The sequence below is a fragment of the Homo sapiens genome, chromosome 10 (assembly GCF_000001405.40).
Source record: "Homo sapiens chromosome 10, GRCh38.p14 Primary Assembly".
Classification (NCBI taxonomy): Eukaryota; Metazoa; Chordata; class Mammalia; order Primates; family Hominidae; genus Homo; species Homo sapiens.
In genome coordinates, this window is record NC_000010.11 from 3389758 (window position 1) to 3407424 (window position 17667).

At 45.1% G+C, this 17667-nt stretch overlaps 3 long non-coding RNA genes across 3 annotated transcripts in view, besides 2 other annotated features; 2 read left to right on the forward strand and 1 right to left on the reverse strand.

Moving 5' to 3' along the window:
• Positions 1 to 17667, forward strand: part of LOC105376360 (uncharacterized) — a 432070-nt gene that overhangs the window by 71063 nt on the left and 343340 nt on the right. The window lies entirely within an intron of this gene.
• On the reverse strand, positions 1944 to 7598 carry LOC105376358 (uncharacterized). The gene is made up of 3 exons (XR_930568.3): positions 7546 to 7598; positions 5904 to 6076; positions 1944 to 5539 (listed from the first exon to the last, which is right to left on the reverse strand). It is a non-coding gene; the product is annotated as an uncharacterized LOC105376358 (long non-coding RNA).
• LOC105376357 (uncharacterized) lies at positions 7738 to 8677 on the forward strand. Its single transcript, XR_930567.3, has 2 exons — positions 7738 to 7803; positions 8325 to 8677. It is a non-coding gene; the product is annotated as an uncharacterized LOC105376357 (long non-coding RNA).
• Positions 9275 to 9852: an enhancer, noted in NCBI's record as "H3K27ac-H3K4me1 hESC enhancer chr10:3441224-3441801 (GRCh37/hg19 assembly coordinates)". NCBI's record gives its function as "activates a minimal SCP1, AML or CMV promoter by ChIP-STARR-seq in primed H9 embryonic stem cells {active_cell/tissue: H9 hESC(primed)}" and the evidence as "EXISTENCE:reporter gene assay evidence [ECO:0000049][PMID:30033119]".
• Positions 9853 to 10429: an enhancer, noted in NCBI's record as "NANOG-H3K27ac-H3K4me1 hESC enhancer chr10:3441802-3442378 (GRCh37/hg19 assembly coordinates)". NCBI's record gives its function as "activates a minimal SCP1, AML or CMV promoter by ChIP-STARR-seq in primed H9 embryonic stem cells {active_cell/tissue: H9 hESC(primed)}" and the evidence as "EXISTENCE:reporter gene assay evidence [ECO:0000049][PMID:30033119]".

Sequence of the window (17667 nt, forward strand, 5' to 3'; positions counted from 1 at the left end):
CACACACACACACACACACACACACACACACACAGCTGACCTCTTGAAAGACAGTCACTGATGGGAAACTGTTTTAACCCTCTGGAGTGCTGGTCCCTGGGAAAGTCTGGCAGTGACAGTTTTGGGAAACTCTTTGGCCGAGAAACCCACACTTTTATATCACAAAACATCGCACTGCTTAATTTTAGCCTTGTGGTACAAAGAAAATATCTCTGCAAGATTTTCAGAGACAGGCGGCTTGGTAACCATCTCCACTCCAATAATTAGCAAACACCCTCTGCTACCCTGGAGGTGCAATCTAACCAACACCCCAGCACCATGATCACCATCCGGCCAGGGGTCCTGGCAGCCAGTGTGGGGATTTGCAGTACTTACAGAAATGCTATAAAATCTCCAAACGTCTTCACTGTTGCCTTTTGCTCTGTAGTGCAACTTTTCTGCATTGTAGTTATTGTATGGCTTTGTATTTCTTGTTTTTTACACTCAGGACTTTAGAGTTAAGTATTTGTACACCAGGTAGGGCTATCACCTTTATCTCATTGTACATGCAATATTATAACACACAATTTTGGTGCTTTTAACACTATTTCTTTTTTTCATTTTTATTAAAGAATGTTTATTTGAATTATATACTTTTAAAAAATGAATAGTATTCACATACAGCATTAGATACACCCAGTGCCCATTTGTAGTTTGTCCAAGCTCCATCATAATAAACCACCAATGATGAACTCCAGTAGCAATGGGGCAAAAACCCCCTTCCAGGGATGGGCGCTTTACCTGGCTGGGTGCCTGACTGTAGGCTGGGCCTGCGTGTCTGGGAGTCCCAGGGCGGCTGGGTATTTGAGCAAAGCTCCTGGGGTTTGTCCTTCCCTCTGTACATTTTCTTACCATTGCACAAGCAGTGGGCACTGCCCCTCCCTGTCCATTGTCCTCCACATCAGCTCGGACCTCTGGGCTTCCATCTGGTAGACCCCTCGCTTGCTCAGGGCATCCATTCAGGGTCCGGTCCCCATTCACCCTTCATACCTCCACTCAGGACATGCACTTTTGTCTTCCTTTCTAGCCCTCAACAATCCAACTTTAATGGCCCATGAGAACCAGAGCTGACCCCATCAGAAACTTCCCAACAACTCACGCATCAGAAACTTCCCAACAACTCAAAAGGGTTTGTGTTCCCCAGAAGGCAGACAATGCTCGACCCACCGGCATGCCAGAAATGGAAGGGCAGAGCTGGGAGCCGAGGACGACGGGGATGTGGGGATGGAGGAATGGGGGCAGGGCTTCCTTCTCAGAATTGGTTGACCACCCCTGAAGGAATGGGAGAAGGAACAAGCCAGACATTGCTGGTACACTGTCACGTGCATAGCACCTGAAATGAGCTTTCAAAGTCAGACTTTGCCCTAGTCACTGAGAGCAGCTGCAAGTGTGGGGAGACGCTGACCATAGGCACAGGTGATGGGCGTGACAGGTGATCTATCAAGTAGCCGAAGGGGTATCTGGGTGAGAAAGGTGGCTTTCTGAGGACAGGTTCCCTATCTGGTACTACCCAGATATTCTCCAATGAGACTTCTGTGCTCCTCCGAGCAGTGAGACTGGCACGTGAAGAGATCTCTGAGAGACATGAAGTGAATGAGTGACAGGCTGTATCACAGGGTCAGGTGATCCTGGTTTCAGTACAGCTTTCTTACCTCTCAGATGTGTAACATCAGATGAGTTGCCTAACTTCTTAAAACCTCATTTTCCTCATTTTTAAGATGGAATTAACAACAGCGTCCACTGTGTTCATGGTAATGTGTCCATAAATGTTAGAAGGGAGGAAAGGAGGAAGGAAGGAAGGAAGGAAGGAAGGAAGGAAGGAAGGAAGGAAGGAAGGAAGGAAAGAAAGAAAGAAAAAATTTTAAAAAAGGAAAGAAAAGGAAAGAAAAAGGAGAGGGTAGGGGAGGAGGGGAGGGAAGGGAAGGGAAAGGAGAAAGGAAAGGAGAGGATAAAAGGAAAGAAGAGTAGAGAAGAGGTTCATTTGTGGCCTCCATTTTGGGCCACCCTCAGCTAGCAGTGAGCATCCCTGGGTTAAATGCAATAGGTTAAAGACACAGTTCTCTCCAGTCTGTGTCATCAGAAGAATATTTTACAAGCAACCTTGTAAGCATTCAAAGGGAAAGCTGGGCTCAATATTTCCTCCACCTAATGCAGAAACAATGAAAGCTGATGTTTATAAAGTGGGAAGATCGTAAGCACTAAATATTGCTCATTAGTTTATAGAAATAGTAGCATGGATAATAACAAATGATTTAGAAAGGCTGTTCAGTGATTCTTATTTACCCTGCCCAATAATATATGAACAAAAGGTAGGTGATAAAATTAGAAGACATCCCATTTAGAACAGATAAAAGACAACACTGCCTTGTTTACTCACCATGTAATTATCTTGTAAAAGTCTTCACTACAGGATATTATTGTGACAAATAGTTTCAGCTAAGGATTAGGCATTTATAATAAGAGGAGCAACATGTGTAGTTCAAACCCTATCATGCTGTATACCACGGCATGGAAGATGCTAGCTGAAAGTGAGAAGAATAGAGGGAAGGTCCCAGAAAATTCAAGACTTAAGGTCTGCCAATTTCCCCCAAACATTCTTAGCTTAACTTTCCACGTATAAGAGCACGTGTTTTGCTGTGTGTTTATTTTTTCTGTTTTAGACTATTTATCTTTTTCATTATGGGGAAACAGAGTATTACATTCAGGCTAAATTGTTTTCCTGAGATTTTTGGCTAAATTAATTAATTTGGAAAAGAATTGCAAGCAGAGAGTATAGTAGACGTTAAAGATGATCAAACATCGTTGCATTGATCGCAGAAATGATGATTTGATCTCCTAAGGATTCTGGTGGTAGCAGATGCTCCAAACTGATTGCCTGCGTTGGTAAAATAATTCTGACTATTACTAAATTGCTATTTCTCTTCTTCTAATGTGGATATAGTCTGAATAAATGGTATGCTTTTATCTAAAACATCTGGGTCTGATTTCTATTAAGGACATGATGAACCATTAGCCTGTAACAACTAACAGTTAAAATAAACATTTCCCCCCTATAGTTTGGCTATAACCAAAGCAGTGAGAACTTTTAGTCAAACCAGTTGCCTGGCATTTTTAAAATTACAGCAACAACATAAAAACTCCAAATATTAATTTTTACACAATTCTAGTCTATTATACTCAATTAATTTAGTTAAGTCATATGAATATGTAGATATAACTTGACTAGGCCTGATTTTCCTAAACCTTTATATAATTAGAACTATGCCTTATATCAGACAGTAAAATACCTTATCTAGAAAGCTTTTGTGTTTCCGAATGGGAAATTAATAGACGCATATAAATATATTTGTTATTAAGTGTGAATTTGCATGGTTCCTCTAAATCCAGTTTTAATATGGGCCAAATGAAAATCATATCTTGTTATTAGACTATTTATATTACCTTTGCATTGCTATTGAATTCGTTATGTTTTTCCCTGTTAAATTGAATATAAACTAAGCCTAAATAGCCATAGAAATAAACATTAAAAAAGTAACACATTTAAAATATGCTCTATCTCTTTAGAAATAGAATTGACTCTATAAATGAACTGTTAATAATATATGTCTTTTTGCTTTTAAAGATTGCAAAGAAAGAAAGAAAGGGATGAACAGGGATTCTAGTTTCATACACTGGTTCAATGAATATTTACTGAGTGGATTTCAAAGCATTGCATTCCACTAGGTTACCAGGTTCTTGGGGAGCCGTTGGGTAACTTAGAGATTTAGAGGGAAAGTTACACATACACACACACACACACACACACACACATATCACAGGTGTCAGCACCACCCCCACCCCACCCCCAGCAGTCTATAGCACTCACTCACACTTGCTTCCCTCTCATGGACCCTTCCCAGTGGCTACTCCTTCCTTTCACCCGACTCTCATGCTTACTTTATTTGGACAACCAGTGCTGATCCAGTGCCTAACCTCCAATCTTCTCCAGCTTTGCTTCTAAAGAAATGCAAATCCTACTAGTGTTGATGACTTGTCTGTCTGGTATTCAGTCCCACCTGGATCAATTCATTCCACTTCTTGGTTTATATCTAAAGGCTTTGAAATCAGTATATTAAAAGACATCTCTGCAGTCTCATGTTTACTACAGCATTCTCCACAATAGCCAAGATATGGACTCAACCTAAGTGTCCAACAAGGCATCAACAAATAAAGACAATGGGGTACATATGCACAACAGAATACTATTCAGCTTTAAAAAAGAGGAAAATCCTGTCGTTTGCAACAACATGGATGAACCTGGAAGACATTATATTAACTGAAATAAGCCAGGCACAGAAAGACAAATACCACATGACCTCACTCATCTGTGGAAAATTTTCAAAAGCTGAACTCACTGAAGCAGAGAGAAGAATAGTGGTTACTAAGGGCTGGGCAATGGGGGAGTTGGAGGTTGGGGAAACGTTGATCAAAGGATACAAAATTTCAGTTGGATAAGAGAAATAAATTCAAGATATTATTTTACAACATGGTGACTTTAGTTGATAACATTATTATATTTTCAAAAATGAAAGAAAAAAAGAGTGAAAGGGGATGTAATACAGTCATAAAGAGCACAGAAAAAAAAAAGTAAATCCCATTTGTACCTTGTTTTGAGCTGTGCTATTCCAAGGCCGGGGGAATGCTTAAAGAAACCCTGATCTTGGAATGGCACAGCTGAGACAATAAATTCTGTGTCTTGTGGAAGAGAAAAACCATCATGAGTGGAAAAAATCAGAAGGGCTCAGAGGGAAAGTGGAAACTGACTTGTGGGTGAGGAATTGGACAGACACTGGGTGGCAATCTTGGAGAGGAAAACAGAATTTAAAAAAAGAATAAATGAGATACGTTCAAAGGCCAAAAAACAGATCATGGTGGTGGTGTAGTAGTTATCTCCTGCTGTGTAACAAGTTGCCCCCAAACTTAGCAGCTTGAATCAATGCACATTTATCATCTCACAGTTTTTGTGGGTCAGGAATCTTTGTGTGGCATGGCTGGCTTGGCTCACTCACAAGTCCACACTCAGGTACTGGCCAGGGATGAGGACTCATCTGAAGGCTCAGGTGGGGAAGGGTCTGCTTCTGAGCACCCCTACAAGCATACCGGCAGGACTGCATTGCTCCAGGGTTGGGGGATTGAGGTCCTCAGTTTCTTGTAGATTTCAGCTGAGAAATGGACTCAGACGTGCCTGTTGCCTGCCCTGCCTCCCTGAAGTCTTATTCTTTTCTTATTGGACAGGAAATTGACAATCAGTAAATGGTGAGATTGTTATTTTCACCTTCACCTGGACTTTATGGAGATAATCTCAGTCAATAGAGTTGCTCCACTCAGAGGAGTTCCAGGCACCAGGAAGTCAGTCAGGCGTGGGAGAGTTGCTGTTTCTGAAGGGGATGTGTGGTGGCTTCTCCCAGCTGGTTTCATTCTACTTGGATGATTGTCCCATGTGCTCATCAGGGGACAAGTCCTGTATGGGAAGGGACAAATGTGACTGTTCTGAGCAATGTCACGTCAGATCCCTGCACGCTTAAAATCTGATGAGCTATTATTTTTCATGCTCTCCCTGACCAGAAAAATAATGTAGGGAATGGTTTGTCTGGTCACTGATGGAAGCAATGCGCCTCTGAGTGCAATGTCATGCTCGCAGGTGAGCCTTCCTTCCTGCCCACGTCAGAGCACATCTCAGGGGAGATGCCTGGAAAGGTGATTATGCACAGTGGATTTCAACCCAGATGGCTGAGCCAGGTGGTGTGAGGAAAACCACTCTCGCAGCGCTGGGGATGTCCCCAATTACAAGGCAGGTCTGCAGCCTCTGGGCTTCTGCCACTCACCAGGCTTGCTCTGGGAACTGCAGTGCCCCATGTCAGTAAGCTGGCACAGGAGATGGAAGATAAACATAACCATTCTGTGTGTACTGTGGGTGCCGGATGCCGTCTCCATCACTCATTCATTGTTGTTGCTGCTAATCTGATCCCAGTTCAGGTGAGAGAAGGCCTCACTGACCCTGAAACAATTAGGATTTCTTTATTTGGAAATTTTCTAAGTGGCCACTGTAATTCATCCCCTCTGCAAGACTCTGACCGTAAAAAAGCTGCCCTGAAATCTTATGGACAAAACCTCTGTTTGGGTCTGGCCCGGTTCCCAGATGATTGAGTGCATGTAATCTGGGGGGTTTGCCTTCAGAGAAAATCAGTCATTTGTGGGGAAGCCCAATATTGTTCTCTTAGCTTGTCAAAAAAAAAAAAAAAAAAGCCCACAGCCCAGGAATGAAAGAGCTGGCAGGTCTGTGCTTACAGGTCTCTGGGAACCTGTCATCTTCTGCTCTTTAGCTGTCAGGGTTGGAAATGCAACTCTCCCCTTCCGTCCTCTGTCTCACTGATGGGGCCCATTCCAGCTGCTGCTGGCTGAAGACCCTGTGGGGACAGTCCACCCCGGAGTGCCACTCTGACTGGCTCAGGACGGGAACCTGAGCCTGCTGCAGACAGGTGACCGGAGCGCGCTGGGAGCCACACGGCGGAGCAGCCCCAAAGCCGAGGGCTTGCATGTGCTACTCCAATTAATTCTAAAAGCAACCTCATGGCACTGGCCTTTCTCCCATTCTGTAAATACGGAGGTAGAGGTTTTCTAGGTTAGGGAAACTTCTCAAAGTCTCAGAGACAGTGAGAGATGGAGTTGGAATCTAATTTAGGGCTGTCTGTTTCAGATCCGAATCTGTCACATACACTGATACTGGGCCACTCACCTGTCACTCACAGACACCACAATGACTGTGAAAGGGCAATGCCCTGTTCGTCTCCTCTGCCCATAAGCTTCAGCCCTACCACCTCCCACACCCCTCTCCTCTACATTCTGCTCGGCTTGGAAACATGGATATATTAAAAGTCTGTATAGATGCCCAGAACCGAGTTATTAGATACCAGAGTATGGGGTTTCTAACCTCAGTTGATACTATAGACAGATGGCAAATAAATCACCCAGTTTGCCTAAGTTCTCTTTTTCAGTCACTCATATTTTCCTCAAATCATAGTAAAGTTGTTTGAATTACTGAGCCCCTGATAAACTAGACTGGTCCTGACACGGAACAATGAACTTGCCTCACACCACCTGTTACAGGCTGAATGTATGTGTCCTCCCAAAATTCACATGCTGAAGTGCTAAACCCCAGAGTGGGTGTATGTGGGGTAGGGAGGCAATTAAGGTTATGTTGGGTCACAAGGGCAGGGCCCTAATCCAATAGGATTAGCTTCCTTAAAAGGAAAGATACCAGAGAGTGTGCTCCGTTTCTTCTCCTCTCCTCTCTCCCTCTCTTTCTCCCTCCCTCCCTCTCTCTCTCTCTCTCCTTCTCCCTCTCTTTTTCTCTCTCCAACCATCTCTCCCTCCCTCCCCCTTTCTCTCTCTCTCTGCTATGGGAGGGCATGGTGTGAAAAGGCAGCTATTTGCAACCCAAGAGGAGAGCCGTCTCCAGACACCAACCCTCTGGTCCCTTGATCTTGGACTTCCAGACTCTGAAACGATGAAAAACTAAATGTCTGTGATTTAAGCCACCCAGTCTGTGATAGACTGTTATGGCAACCAGAGCAAACCTGTCACAGTTTGTCATCAAATGTTGGCTTTGTGATTCACTGATGATTGTGTTTCTCCCCTACAAACTGTAAGCCTCACCAAGACTGAGCTCATGTCTTCCTGCTTCAGTGTTAGATCCCTAATTCCTCGCACAGTGCCGTGCACATAGTAGGTGCTCACTAAGTCTTTGTTGACTGAGGCCTCAAATCTAAACAGAATGGGAGATGCATAGGCCTCCACCCAGACACCCCCAATGCTTCATTTTACAGTTAGGGGAAGCCCAGACAGAAAGCTAGTAAATCGTTTACCTGAACTTACTCAGCAGGTGAGGGGCAGGTCAGGTCTGGACTGAAGGTCCCCTGGGCTCCCCTGAGCAGGGGAGAGAAATGACCTCAGGGTCAGCAGGAGGACTCTGAGGTGTGGAGCCCCCCAACATGCCAGGCACTGCAGGAATTGCTTCACTTAGCACAGAAACCTGAGGTGCTGCTCATGTTCCCATTTCACAAAATCAGATCTGAGACCAAAAGAAAATCCTACCCGCAGCAGCGTGTCTGCTGCGCCCCCTCACCCGATTAGCCCGGTGTTTGCCCTGCGTGCCCCCCGGCGCCGAGCTCACTCGCCCTCTTCCCTGCGTGCCCCCGCCACCGGCGCCGAGCTCACTCGCCCTCTTCTCCGCGTGTTTCCATCAGTGCCTGCCTTGGCTCTGCTTTCTCCAAACCTGTCCCCATCGGTCAGCTGGGGTGGACGAGTGTTTTCCATCTTGCAAAGTCATTGTGTGGGGAAGATGAGATATTCCACGTGAAGCCCCCAGCACGGCCCCCAGCGCAGCCTCCTTCCAGGAATGTTGGCTCTGAGGTCGTCTTCCGCGTGAGTTTTCATCTGTCACTTGTAACAGGAGTGCTGGTGGGAACCATGGTGCAGGTGAGCAGGCTGACAGCAGCAGTTCTTGTTGGGGAGACTTTTTTCTCTATTGTTGGGGAGACTTTTTTCTCTACTGTCATAGCTTGAAATATCTGGGGTCTGCAAGTGAACGGACAGCAGACAGGTGGACAGGAGGGAGAGCAAGGTCCATCGGCTGTGCTCATGCACACACACGTGAGGACACAGTAATGAGGAAAGGGTTTATATACCAGCAAACACAATAAAAACAGGGGCTCAGGGCTTCACGGGGAGTGTGGAAGGTCCTTTCGGTCTTGACGCTAATGGGCAGCTGATCCGAACTGGTTTTGTTTTGTTTTGTTTTATTTTTTTTTTGAGATGGAGTCTCTCTCTGTTGCCCAGGCTGACGGGCAGTGGTGTGATCTCGGCTCACTGCAACTTCTGCCTCCCAGGTTCAAGAGATTCTCCTGCCTCAGCCTCCTGAGTAGCTGGGATTACAGGAGTGCGCCACCACACCCGGCTAATTTTTGTATTTTTAGTAAAGATGGGGTTTCACCATGTTGGCCAGGCTGGTCTCGAGTAGACCTCAGATGATCGTCAGCCTCCCCAAGCTCTGGGATGACAGGCGTGAGCCACCATGCCCGGCCTGTACTGCACTGCTCGGTGTGGGGGGGGTTTAGTCTTCCTCCAAGCAGGATATGCCCCCAGAGGGGTCAAAGCAGCTCTGCTTCCTGGGGCAGCTGCTTAAGTGGAGGTAGTTTCTTTCTGCGGCTGCTGACTGTTCAGGAGTTTTCAATTTAAAATAATTTCCATCCCTTCATTCTCAACTGAAGTGTGGTCCAGCATCACCTGCACGGCTTGGAAGACGGAGATCGCAGAGCCGGGTCCCAGGGTGTCTGATTCAGTGAGTCCAGAGGCGTGCCTATGTGTGGACAGACATCGCTGACCGACCATAACCTCACATCTGCCAAACAGACACGGCCTCAGAAATTAACAATGGATGTTTGTCTTCAACGAAGCTTCCGCCCGACACATCAGATACAGTGCTGTGCTGGGCGGAGCCACAGGAAGCCTGGAGGCCTGGCTGTGGCTGCTGGTTTTGTCTCTGGGTCCCTGGTGCTGATGATCACAGGCTTCAGACACCCCTGGAGCTGTGCGAGCCGTCAGTAGCGTGTGTGTGTGCGTGCGTGTGTGTCCATGTGCATGTGTGTGCACGTGTGCAAGTGCGTGCGTGCGTGCGTGTGCGTGTGCGTGCGCGTGTGTGATGCGTGTGCACGCGCGTGTGTGATGCGTGTGCACGTGTCTGTGCGTGTGTGGGTGTGCGTGTGCATGTGTGCGTGCGGGTGTGTGCGTACGTGTGTGCGTGTGTGTGCGCGCGCGTGTGTGTTCTCGTGTGCACGTGTGTGTGTGTGTGTTTTCAGGGTCAGGAATAGGTTAACTGGATGAGATTCCATCCTCTGTGAACTCCCTGTGATTTTTGTGCAGTCACTATGTTGCCCAAACTGGCCCACTTCCCTTCACTGTTGTTGCTCCAGAGGGGCAGGAGGATTAATGTCCACGCTCGGATACAAAGTTTTCACACCCCACTGTCACTGAACTCCTGCCTGTAGGGAACATTGGCTATGATAAAGAAAACTAGGTAAAGCACTGAAAGGGCAGTGCTCAGAAAGAGAAAGAAATGCGAGCAGCCCTGGGGCTATTTCCTTCCTGGAGGTTAGAAAACTCTCTGAGTGAGTGTGTTGATCAGAGGTCGACTAAGCTGCCTCATGACAATCGAATTCTGAATTTACTGCAGAGACAATAACCCCATCACACAAGTACAAGGGCATGTCGGTGAAAACCATGTTTTAAACTGTCAAGCTTTGTAAATAATAAAGCAAATTCAGATACTGCAACTAGCAAAAAGAAATCTGAAAATGGTAGAAAAACAAGTTTTACAGTGTATTCTCTGACGGTGATGGTATTGAAAAGAAGCGGCATCTCCCATACTACACCTAGCAGCCTTTTTCCTCCTGTATGTAATTACATTTCAGGAGATAGCACTAGACCGATTCTATCCCGCTAGGTAGCAGGTTCAATTGTTATAAAAATAGTATGTAAGAGTTCTGAAAGTGTGCACAGAGGAATGAGAGATCAGTTAAAAAATTATTTTCATTTAAAAATAGTTCACACCCGTGTCAAGAGTTTATTTAAATACATTTAATTACATCATCTTTAAAGCATTTTTGTCCAGCAAGCAAAGCGATGTGATCACAAGTGATTTTTTGTTCTAAACAAAGTGATTTCCTGTTAGCACCGCGCAGAACTGTGTAGGCCCAGTGACCCTGGTTGGTGTCCGGATGATTTGATTAAAAGGGTGGCAAGGGGGAAGGATGAAGAGGGAAGGCCAGATGCTTTGGGATGTTTCCCTCTTTTTTTTTTTTTTTTTGCTATATTGAATGTTTTGAGATAAGTATAATGCTTTAAAAGCAGAAAAGAAAATGTCTTGGCTGGGTGCAGTGGCTCATGTCTGTAATCCCAGCACTTTGGGAGGCCGAGGAGGGCAGATCGCCTGAGGTCAGGAGTTCGAGACCAGCCTGACTAACATGGTGAAACCCCATCTCTACCAAAAATACAAAAATTAGCCAGGTGTGATGGTGGGTGCCTGTAATCCCAGCTACCCAGGATGCTGAGGCAGGAGAGTCGCTTGAACCCGGGAGGCGGAGGTTGCAGTGAGCAGAGATAGAGCCAATGCACTCCAGCCTGGGCAACAAAGTGAGACTCTGTCTGGAGAAGGGAAGGGAAGGGGAGGGGAGGGGAGGTCCTTACACACAATACCAATTACACCAGAGTGAACTACATTCCCTGCAGCAGTTAATATTGGCTCAGTGCACCCGCCACTTTCCTGTGCCCTGAGAACACTGGCTTCAGGACCCCACAGGACCCCGGGATTGTGTGTCTGCCTTTGCCTCAACACAAATCAGCACTTCTGGTGACCTCTGTCTTTAGGGTTACCACTGTCTTTTAGATCACAATGGGGTGACCACCATCTTTTGGGTGACCACTGTTAGTTAGTTAACAGTACCTACTCAGACAACTAAAGGAACAGTGAGTGTTGTAATATCTCCTTCCAAATTCCAACCTCCCCCACCAAAATCCAATTCACAATCAAAAAATCATTGTAAGAAACTGGGATTTGGTATGCACCAATTAAGAGTCTATGTTTGTTTCTCAGAAATATTATCTACGTACAAATCATTTTTGGAAGACATTCTAGAATGTTTCATGGAGAAAAGTTTAGATTAGAAAATAGAAATCTGTTTCTCATCCTTAATGTAAACAAGGCTTACATATTTGAGGGATGTTAAAAGATAAATTTAGGCACATGAAAAATTTGACAAGTTTATTTGAGCTGACAGCGATTCATGAATCAGGCAGCAACAAACCACAAGCTTCTAAGAGCTCCATAAGAGGGTGGGAGGGAAAACGTTTACAAGGTGTCTCTGGAAGCAGGACAAAGAAACACGTGATTGGTTAAAGTGGAAAGTCCCCAGCTAGAGGGGTTCCTTAGCAGTTACTGATTGGTAAAGTCTCCACTTGGTGGGGATTTGGCGGTTTCTGATTGATCGAGCTTAAGTTTCCTGTTACTATTTAGACTGAGTTGGGTTTTGCTTGCCTATATAGCAGCCCAGGGCCCTGGAGTGCCTCAGCCCAATGGCCAACCAGTTAATTATTTAACACGGGACGTGGCTCGTGCATAGGAAGAGGTCTTCAGTCCTCAGTTTTATATTCTTATGCCAACCCAATTTTATTTCTTCTTCAGCCTCTCTAGCCTGGGAAATGTTTAATTACCCTCTTTCTCAATCCTAATCTCTTTTTCCCCCTGGCTTCACGGATTCTACCTCCAGGCTCAATTTGGGGTGAGCTAAATTAGGAAGGCTGAATACAAAATTATGTCTGCCATTATTATTCCGTTATCGATATAGACACTATAAAATTTAAGCACAAAATCCTGAAGTACTCTCATAAGTGAAGGCCAGCTATACGCCATGCAAAACAGGGTGACATATTCGTGCAGTGCGTGGAAGGATGTCCCTCTAAAAGATCCCAGATTCTCTACCAGTTCCTCAATGCTTGTCAGATGATCCGGTCACTAATAATGAAAAAAAAGGCACAGAGACTAAGCTATATTCTGAAGGGATTTACTTGGCTATAATTCTTTATGTCACGTAATGATGGGGTGATTTTGATTGGAGTTTAAAAAGAAACATCTGTTTGGGTGAGAAAAGTGCTCAGATAAGCTTAACCATAAAATATGAGGCAGCAGAAATGCCCCTGGGGGACAGGATTAAGCTGTTCTTCAGGATCTATTCGAGCTGTGCCCTTGGGGAGGTCATTCAGTTTATCAATGCCTCAGGTTAGCATCTCAAGAAATTCACGTCTCCGAGTTGTTATAAAGCTAAATAATTTAGCATCTATAAAATCCTATGAGATGAAAGGCACAATAGAAATGCAAATTATTATTTTATTATGAGACACCATTAATAGGACAGAAAGTAAAATGCTCTCTTTGATAGATGTCCAGTTCAGCTGACTGATGGCATTGTGCTTCCGTCTTAGAAATGTATGATACTTAACTGCAACAGATAATTGCCTTCCATCCTGCTTTGTTTCATCTGCTCTCCTTAAGAATTATCTTTGGTGGTTTCTCTTCAGGGGTTACCCCTGTCAGTTCATCCCGACATTCCTCAGCAAATTGAACAAAATCGTTGCCAGAAATCCTCAATGAGAAGCAATGCTTCTTCATTACAGTAATTATGTTTTATGTGGAAGCTTTTTCATAAAAAGGTATCAAAGTTTTTAATTTAAGTTCAAAAGATGATATGTTGCTAGTGGCAATGACATTAGCTAAAGCCTCGTTGTTAAATGGAGAAATTTGTTTTTTAACCTAGAAGAACATTTTCAGTAGGCTTCCCATTGGTAAAATAAAAATGGTGGTCTCACTGTTTAATCTCCAAGATCAGAACCAGGAAATGCAATCCCTCCAGCTAGGAGACAGGCAGCTACCTCTTTTTGATGCAGGAAGCAAGTTGGTTCTGTAGTGGAAACCCTGATTCCCTCTCTCTGGTTGCTTCCTCTGGGCCTCTGGGGACTGGGGGGCTCAGGGGGAGCCAGGCTTTTCATCCAGCTACTGTCACCCCAGCCTTTTGGCTGGCCGAAGTCCACGGCCTCCAGTCAGCCAGTTACCAACATACAGGGTAAGCCGAAGGGCTCTGCCGCCTGAGGAGTGGGGGAAAATAGGCAGGAATGGGGTAACCTTTGAGGCTCATAATTCTCGCATCAATTGTGAATCATCCCATTTTCGTTAACCAAAATCTGGAAGATAGAGTGACAAAGAATCTTTGTGATATTTCCTGTATAAAGTAGTCTAGGCAAGAAATGCTTACTTTAAAAAAATTGGATTTCTGGGTTATTTTTTATTTATTTGGACAGTAAGCAAAATGTTTAGATTCAGGACTATTTGGGGGGTGGCCCCATATATAAAAGAATCCTAGAGGGGAAAAAAGATGAAGATGATTGAGAAAAGCAAACTGAATAATACAAATGCTATGGCATTCTGTAAATCGGTGCTATTTTAAATATCTACCTGTTTCTAGTCTTGGGAGTCAGCATGCTTGAAGAAATGCAACCTTGGCTTCCAGTCTGCACTCGGTCACTCGCCAGGTTAGGAAGTTGTCAAGGGAGGAGCTCTCTAAGCCTCGGCTTCCTCATTGCATCGTTCAAAGAAAAACTTCAGACAAATTAAGTATAACAGAGTTTAATAGAGAAAAGAATGGGTCACACATCAGGCAGCTCCCCAGAACCAGAATAGGTTCTGAGGTGTGACTCTGGGGCTGCTACGGGTTAGGACAGAAAAGTGGCAATAGCGGGAATGGAAATGGAAGTGACAGCCAGAAACAGTGGGATTGGCTCCGGCTCCGTGTTTGCCTTTTTTTTTTTTTTTTCGTCTTGAGATGGAGTCTCGCCCTTTCACCCAGGCTGGAGTGCAATGATGCGATCTCAGCTCACTGCAACCTCCGCCTCCTGAGTTCAAGCGATTCTCCTACCTCAGCCTCCTGAGAGGCTGGGATTACAGGCGCCCGCCACCACGTCTGGCTAATTGTTGTATTTTTAGTAGAGACAGGGTTTCGTCATTTTGGCCAGGCTGGTCTCTAACTCCTGACCTCAGGTGATCCGCCCACCTCCGCATCCCAAAATGCTGGGATTACATGTGTGAGCCACCACGCCTAGCCTAGTGTTTGCCTTTTTCAGCAGTTTGAACAGTGGCCGCTGTGAGCAGTTGAGAGACGGCTGCTGGGATTGGCTGGGGCTTGGCTACGTGTTCCAGGAGCAGGTGGCGTCCTGTGGACACATCCAGGTAAGTCACACTTCATTGTGTATGAAGCAACCTTTAGGCCGAACCTAAAACGTGTAAGGAGGCAGCTTTAGGCTAAAGTGAACAGCACGATCTGTACATGCACGGCACACATGTAACATGCACAGAATGGTGGCCGGGACCAAGTGAGATTTAATCAACGCTGCTTCCCTCCCCCACTTTTCTCAGCACACAGAGAAGGAAGCACTCAGGACGTTGTTGAATACGTTGTGAATTGTTTTAATGAGGGAGCTTGGAAATGGAAGGCTTTACAAGTTACCTCAGGCCATGTCAGTCTGAAGCCGCTGAGTACATTCGTTTTAGGCATTTCTGAAGGTGGCGGTTTATGATGCTCTGAGGAAAAGTTATTAAAGTAATAGCCACGTATAGTACTTCCTTAGGAAAGTTAGTTCTTGAACTAACGCCATTTGTCGTATGGTAACGAAAGAGAGAGTGCCAAGAAATTCAAGTCCTGATCTTTGCTTATTGTTTATAATATTAAAAATATATTTTATCTCAATACTTTATACCTGTAGTATACAAATATACTTAAAAACACCTTATATTTGTATCTTTTTATATTTTCAAAGTACTTTGGTGCATATTACTTTATTTCACCCTAACAACACCATCGTGGTTTGGAAAGGGGAGTTTTTTTCTTCCCATGTTTGGGATGAAGAAACTTAGACTCAGGGAAGTAAACTGATGTTTAACAACCAACCAAAAAGTGGAGGCGGAGTGGAACCAAGGCCTGAGCAGGCTCACTCTGCGGCCAGCATCCTTTTCATTCCAGCACTGACTCCTGGTTTAGAAAACTAGCACAGTGAGGAAGATCCTTCTTATTCATGGCAATTTGCTCACTTCCAATGTGACTACTATTCTAAACAGAATTTAGAATAAAGTGAATATCTATGGGTCTCATGCAGTGATTATGTGTGTGTGCTCACAGATATGGATGTATGGATGTGTGTATTTATCTCCTGCTTTTTTCTGAAAATGTTTTGAAATAACTGATTTCAAAATTACAAATGCAGACAACAAAGCTGTTGAGATGAATTGATGTAGGACGTAACCTTGATTCTTGTTTAAAACAGATTAAAATATTAGAAAGGGGGCTGAGCTAGCTGCTCTGTAATTCAAGGATGATGGGATGTTTCTGTTTTAAGTTCGAGACGGTGCTTCTGCCTGTAAGAGCCTGTAATTTGAGACACAAAAACAAATGATGGGTTATGATAATGCATGTGGTTTTATAGACCATTCTATGACACTAGATGACAGTTGAATTTCTGAATTGTTTGTGCTTTGGATTCTATTGCTGGGGTGCAGGAAATGCTATCCCAAAATAGGACATCTTGGGAAATGAGAAAACTGCAGAAGCCAGAAGGTTCCTCTCTGGCCTTTTTCTACCTTTCTCCCCTGTGAGCTGGCCAGAAAAGAGTTTTCTGACCTACTTTCCCTGAAAATAAGACTGTCATTCCAGATATCAGCCCCTCGTATGCCTCTGAAACCTGGAGAGGAGCTGCACACAGACAGGCCAGGAAGGTTCTGAGCCGAGAGGCCTTGTTCATTTCCCGAGCGTATCACCTTCAGATCACACCCTTTTCCTCCAATCACACTTCAGCACGACTCCCATAAAAATACAGTTTTCTCTGTGTCTTTGGGTCTTCATTTCTGAAGGTTCTCATGTAAAATAAAACTTCTATTAAATAAATTCATTATGCTTTTCTTTTGTTAATCCCTATTTTGTTATAGGATCTCAGTCATGAACCCAGGGGTGGGTGAGGAAAGCATATTACTTATTTTTCCCCTCAACTATCATATATGACCAATTTGTCAAGCACATGCTAAAGGTTTTGCACACATCGCACCATTTATTTGCATGTTTACTGGCACACTATGAAGTGGCGTTATAATTACTGTTCTACGATAAAGATACGGAGGCTTAGCAGAATCAGTGCGCCCAGGGTGAGAAAGCCCGTGGCCGAGGGAGCTGGAATTCTTGTCTGGATCTCTGGGACTCCTCTTCCCTCCCGAGGACACTTTCTTCATTGTCAGCTGGAACACAGGGCCTTGCATTGTGAGGCTGGCCCAGCACCAGCTGCGTGAAAATCAAAGCTGCCGTGGCACTTCAACAACCGGAAGTTACCACCATGTGATCAGCTGGTTTCCAGGCACCAGCGGTTCCAAAGATGGACAGAAATAATAAATGTTCATTCTGCGAGGTGCTGACGGCGTGGCTTTTGCAGGGTTTGCACCAGGGATGTGCGTTATGGGAGACCCGATCTCTTGTGTCCTTAGGGATTTCACTGCACGGGAGAACCACAGGGTTTGAGCTGGAGTCCTCCTGGCACCCAAGGATGGAGTCGGTTCACTGCAGTCAGCAGAAGTAGTTTCCCTGGCACCCAAGGATGGAGTCGGTTCACTGCAGTCAGCAGAAGTAGTTTCCCTGGCACCCGTTCCTCCAGAGAACACCTGCTCAGATACAGGTAACCCTGCACCTGTGTATGGATCATCGGACACCTGCTCAGATCCAGATCCAGATCCAACCCAAGCACCTGTGCAGGGATCATCGGCGAGACTTACAGAGCTCCCAGGGATAGAAAGGATTTCCATCTGTGACTCCACAGAGGAGGCATCTGATGGGCGTGGGCTGTCGTCAGAATGCGCCTGGCCTCACAGAACCTGGCGGGAGCAGTGCGGGGAATGGCCATCTCTGTTCTGAGCACACTGGCCTTCCTGAGGACAAGCCGGCTGCCCTC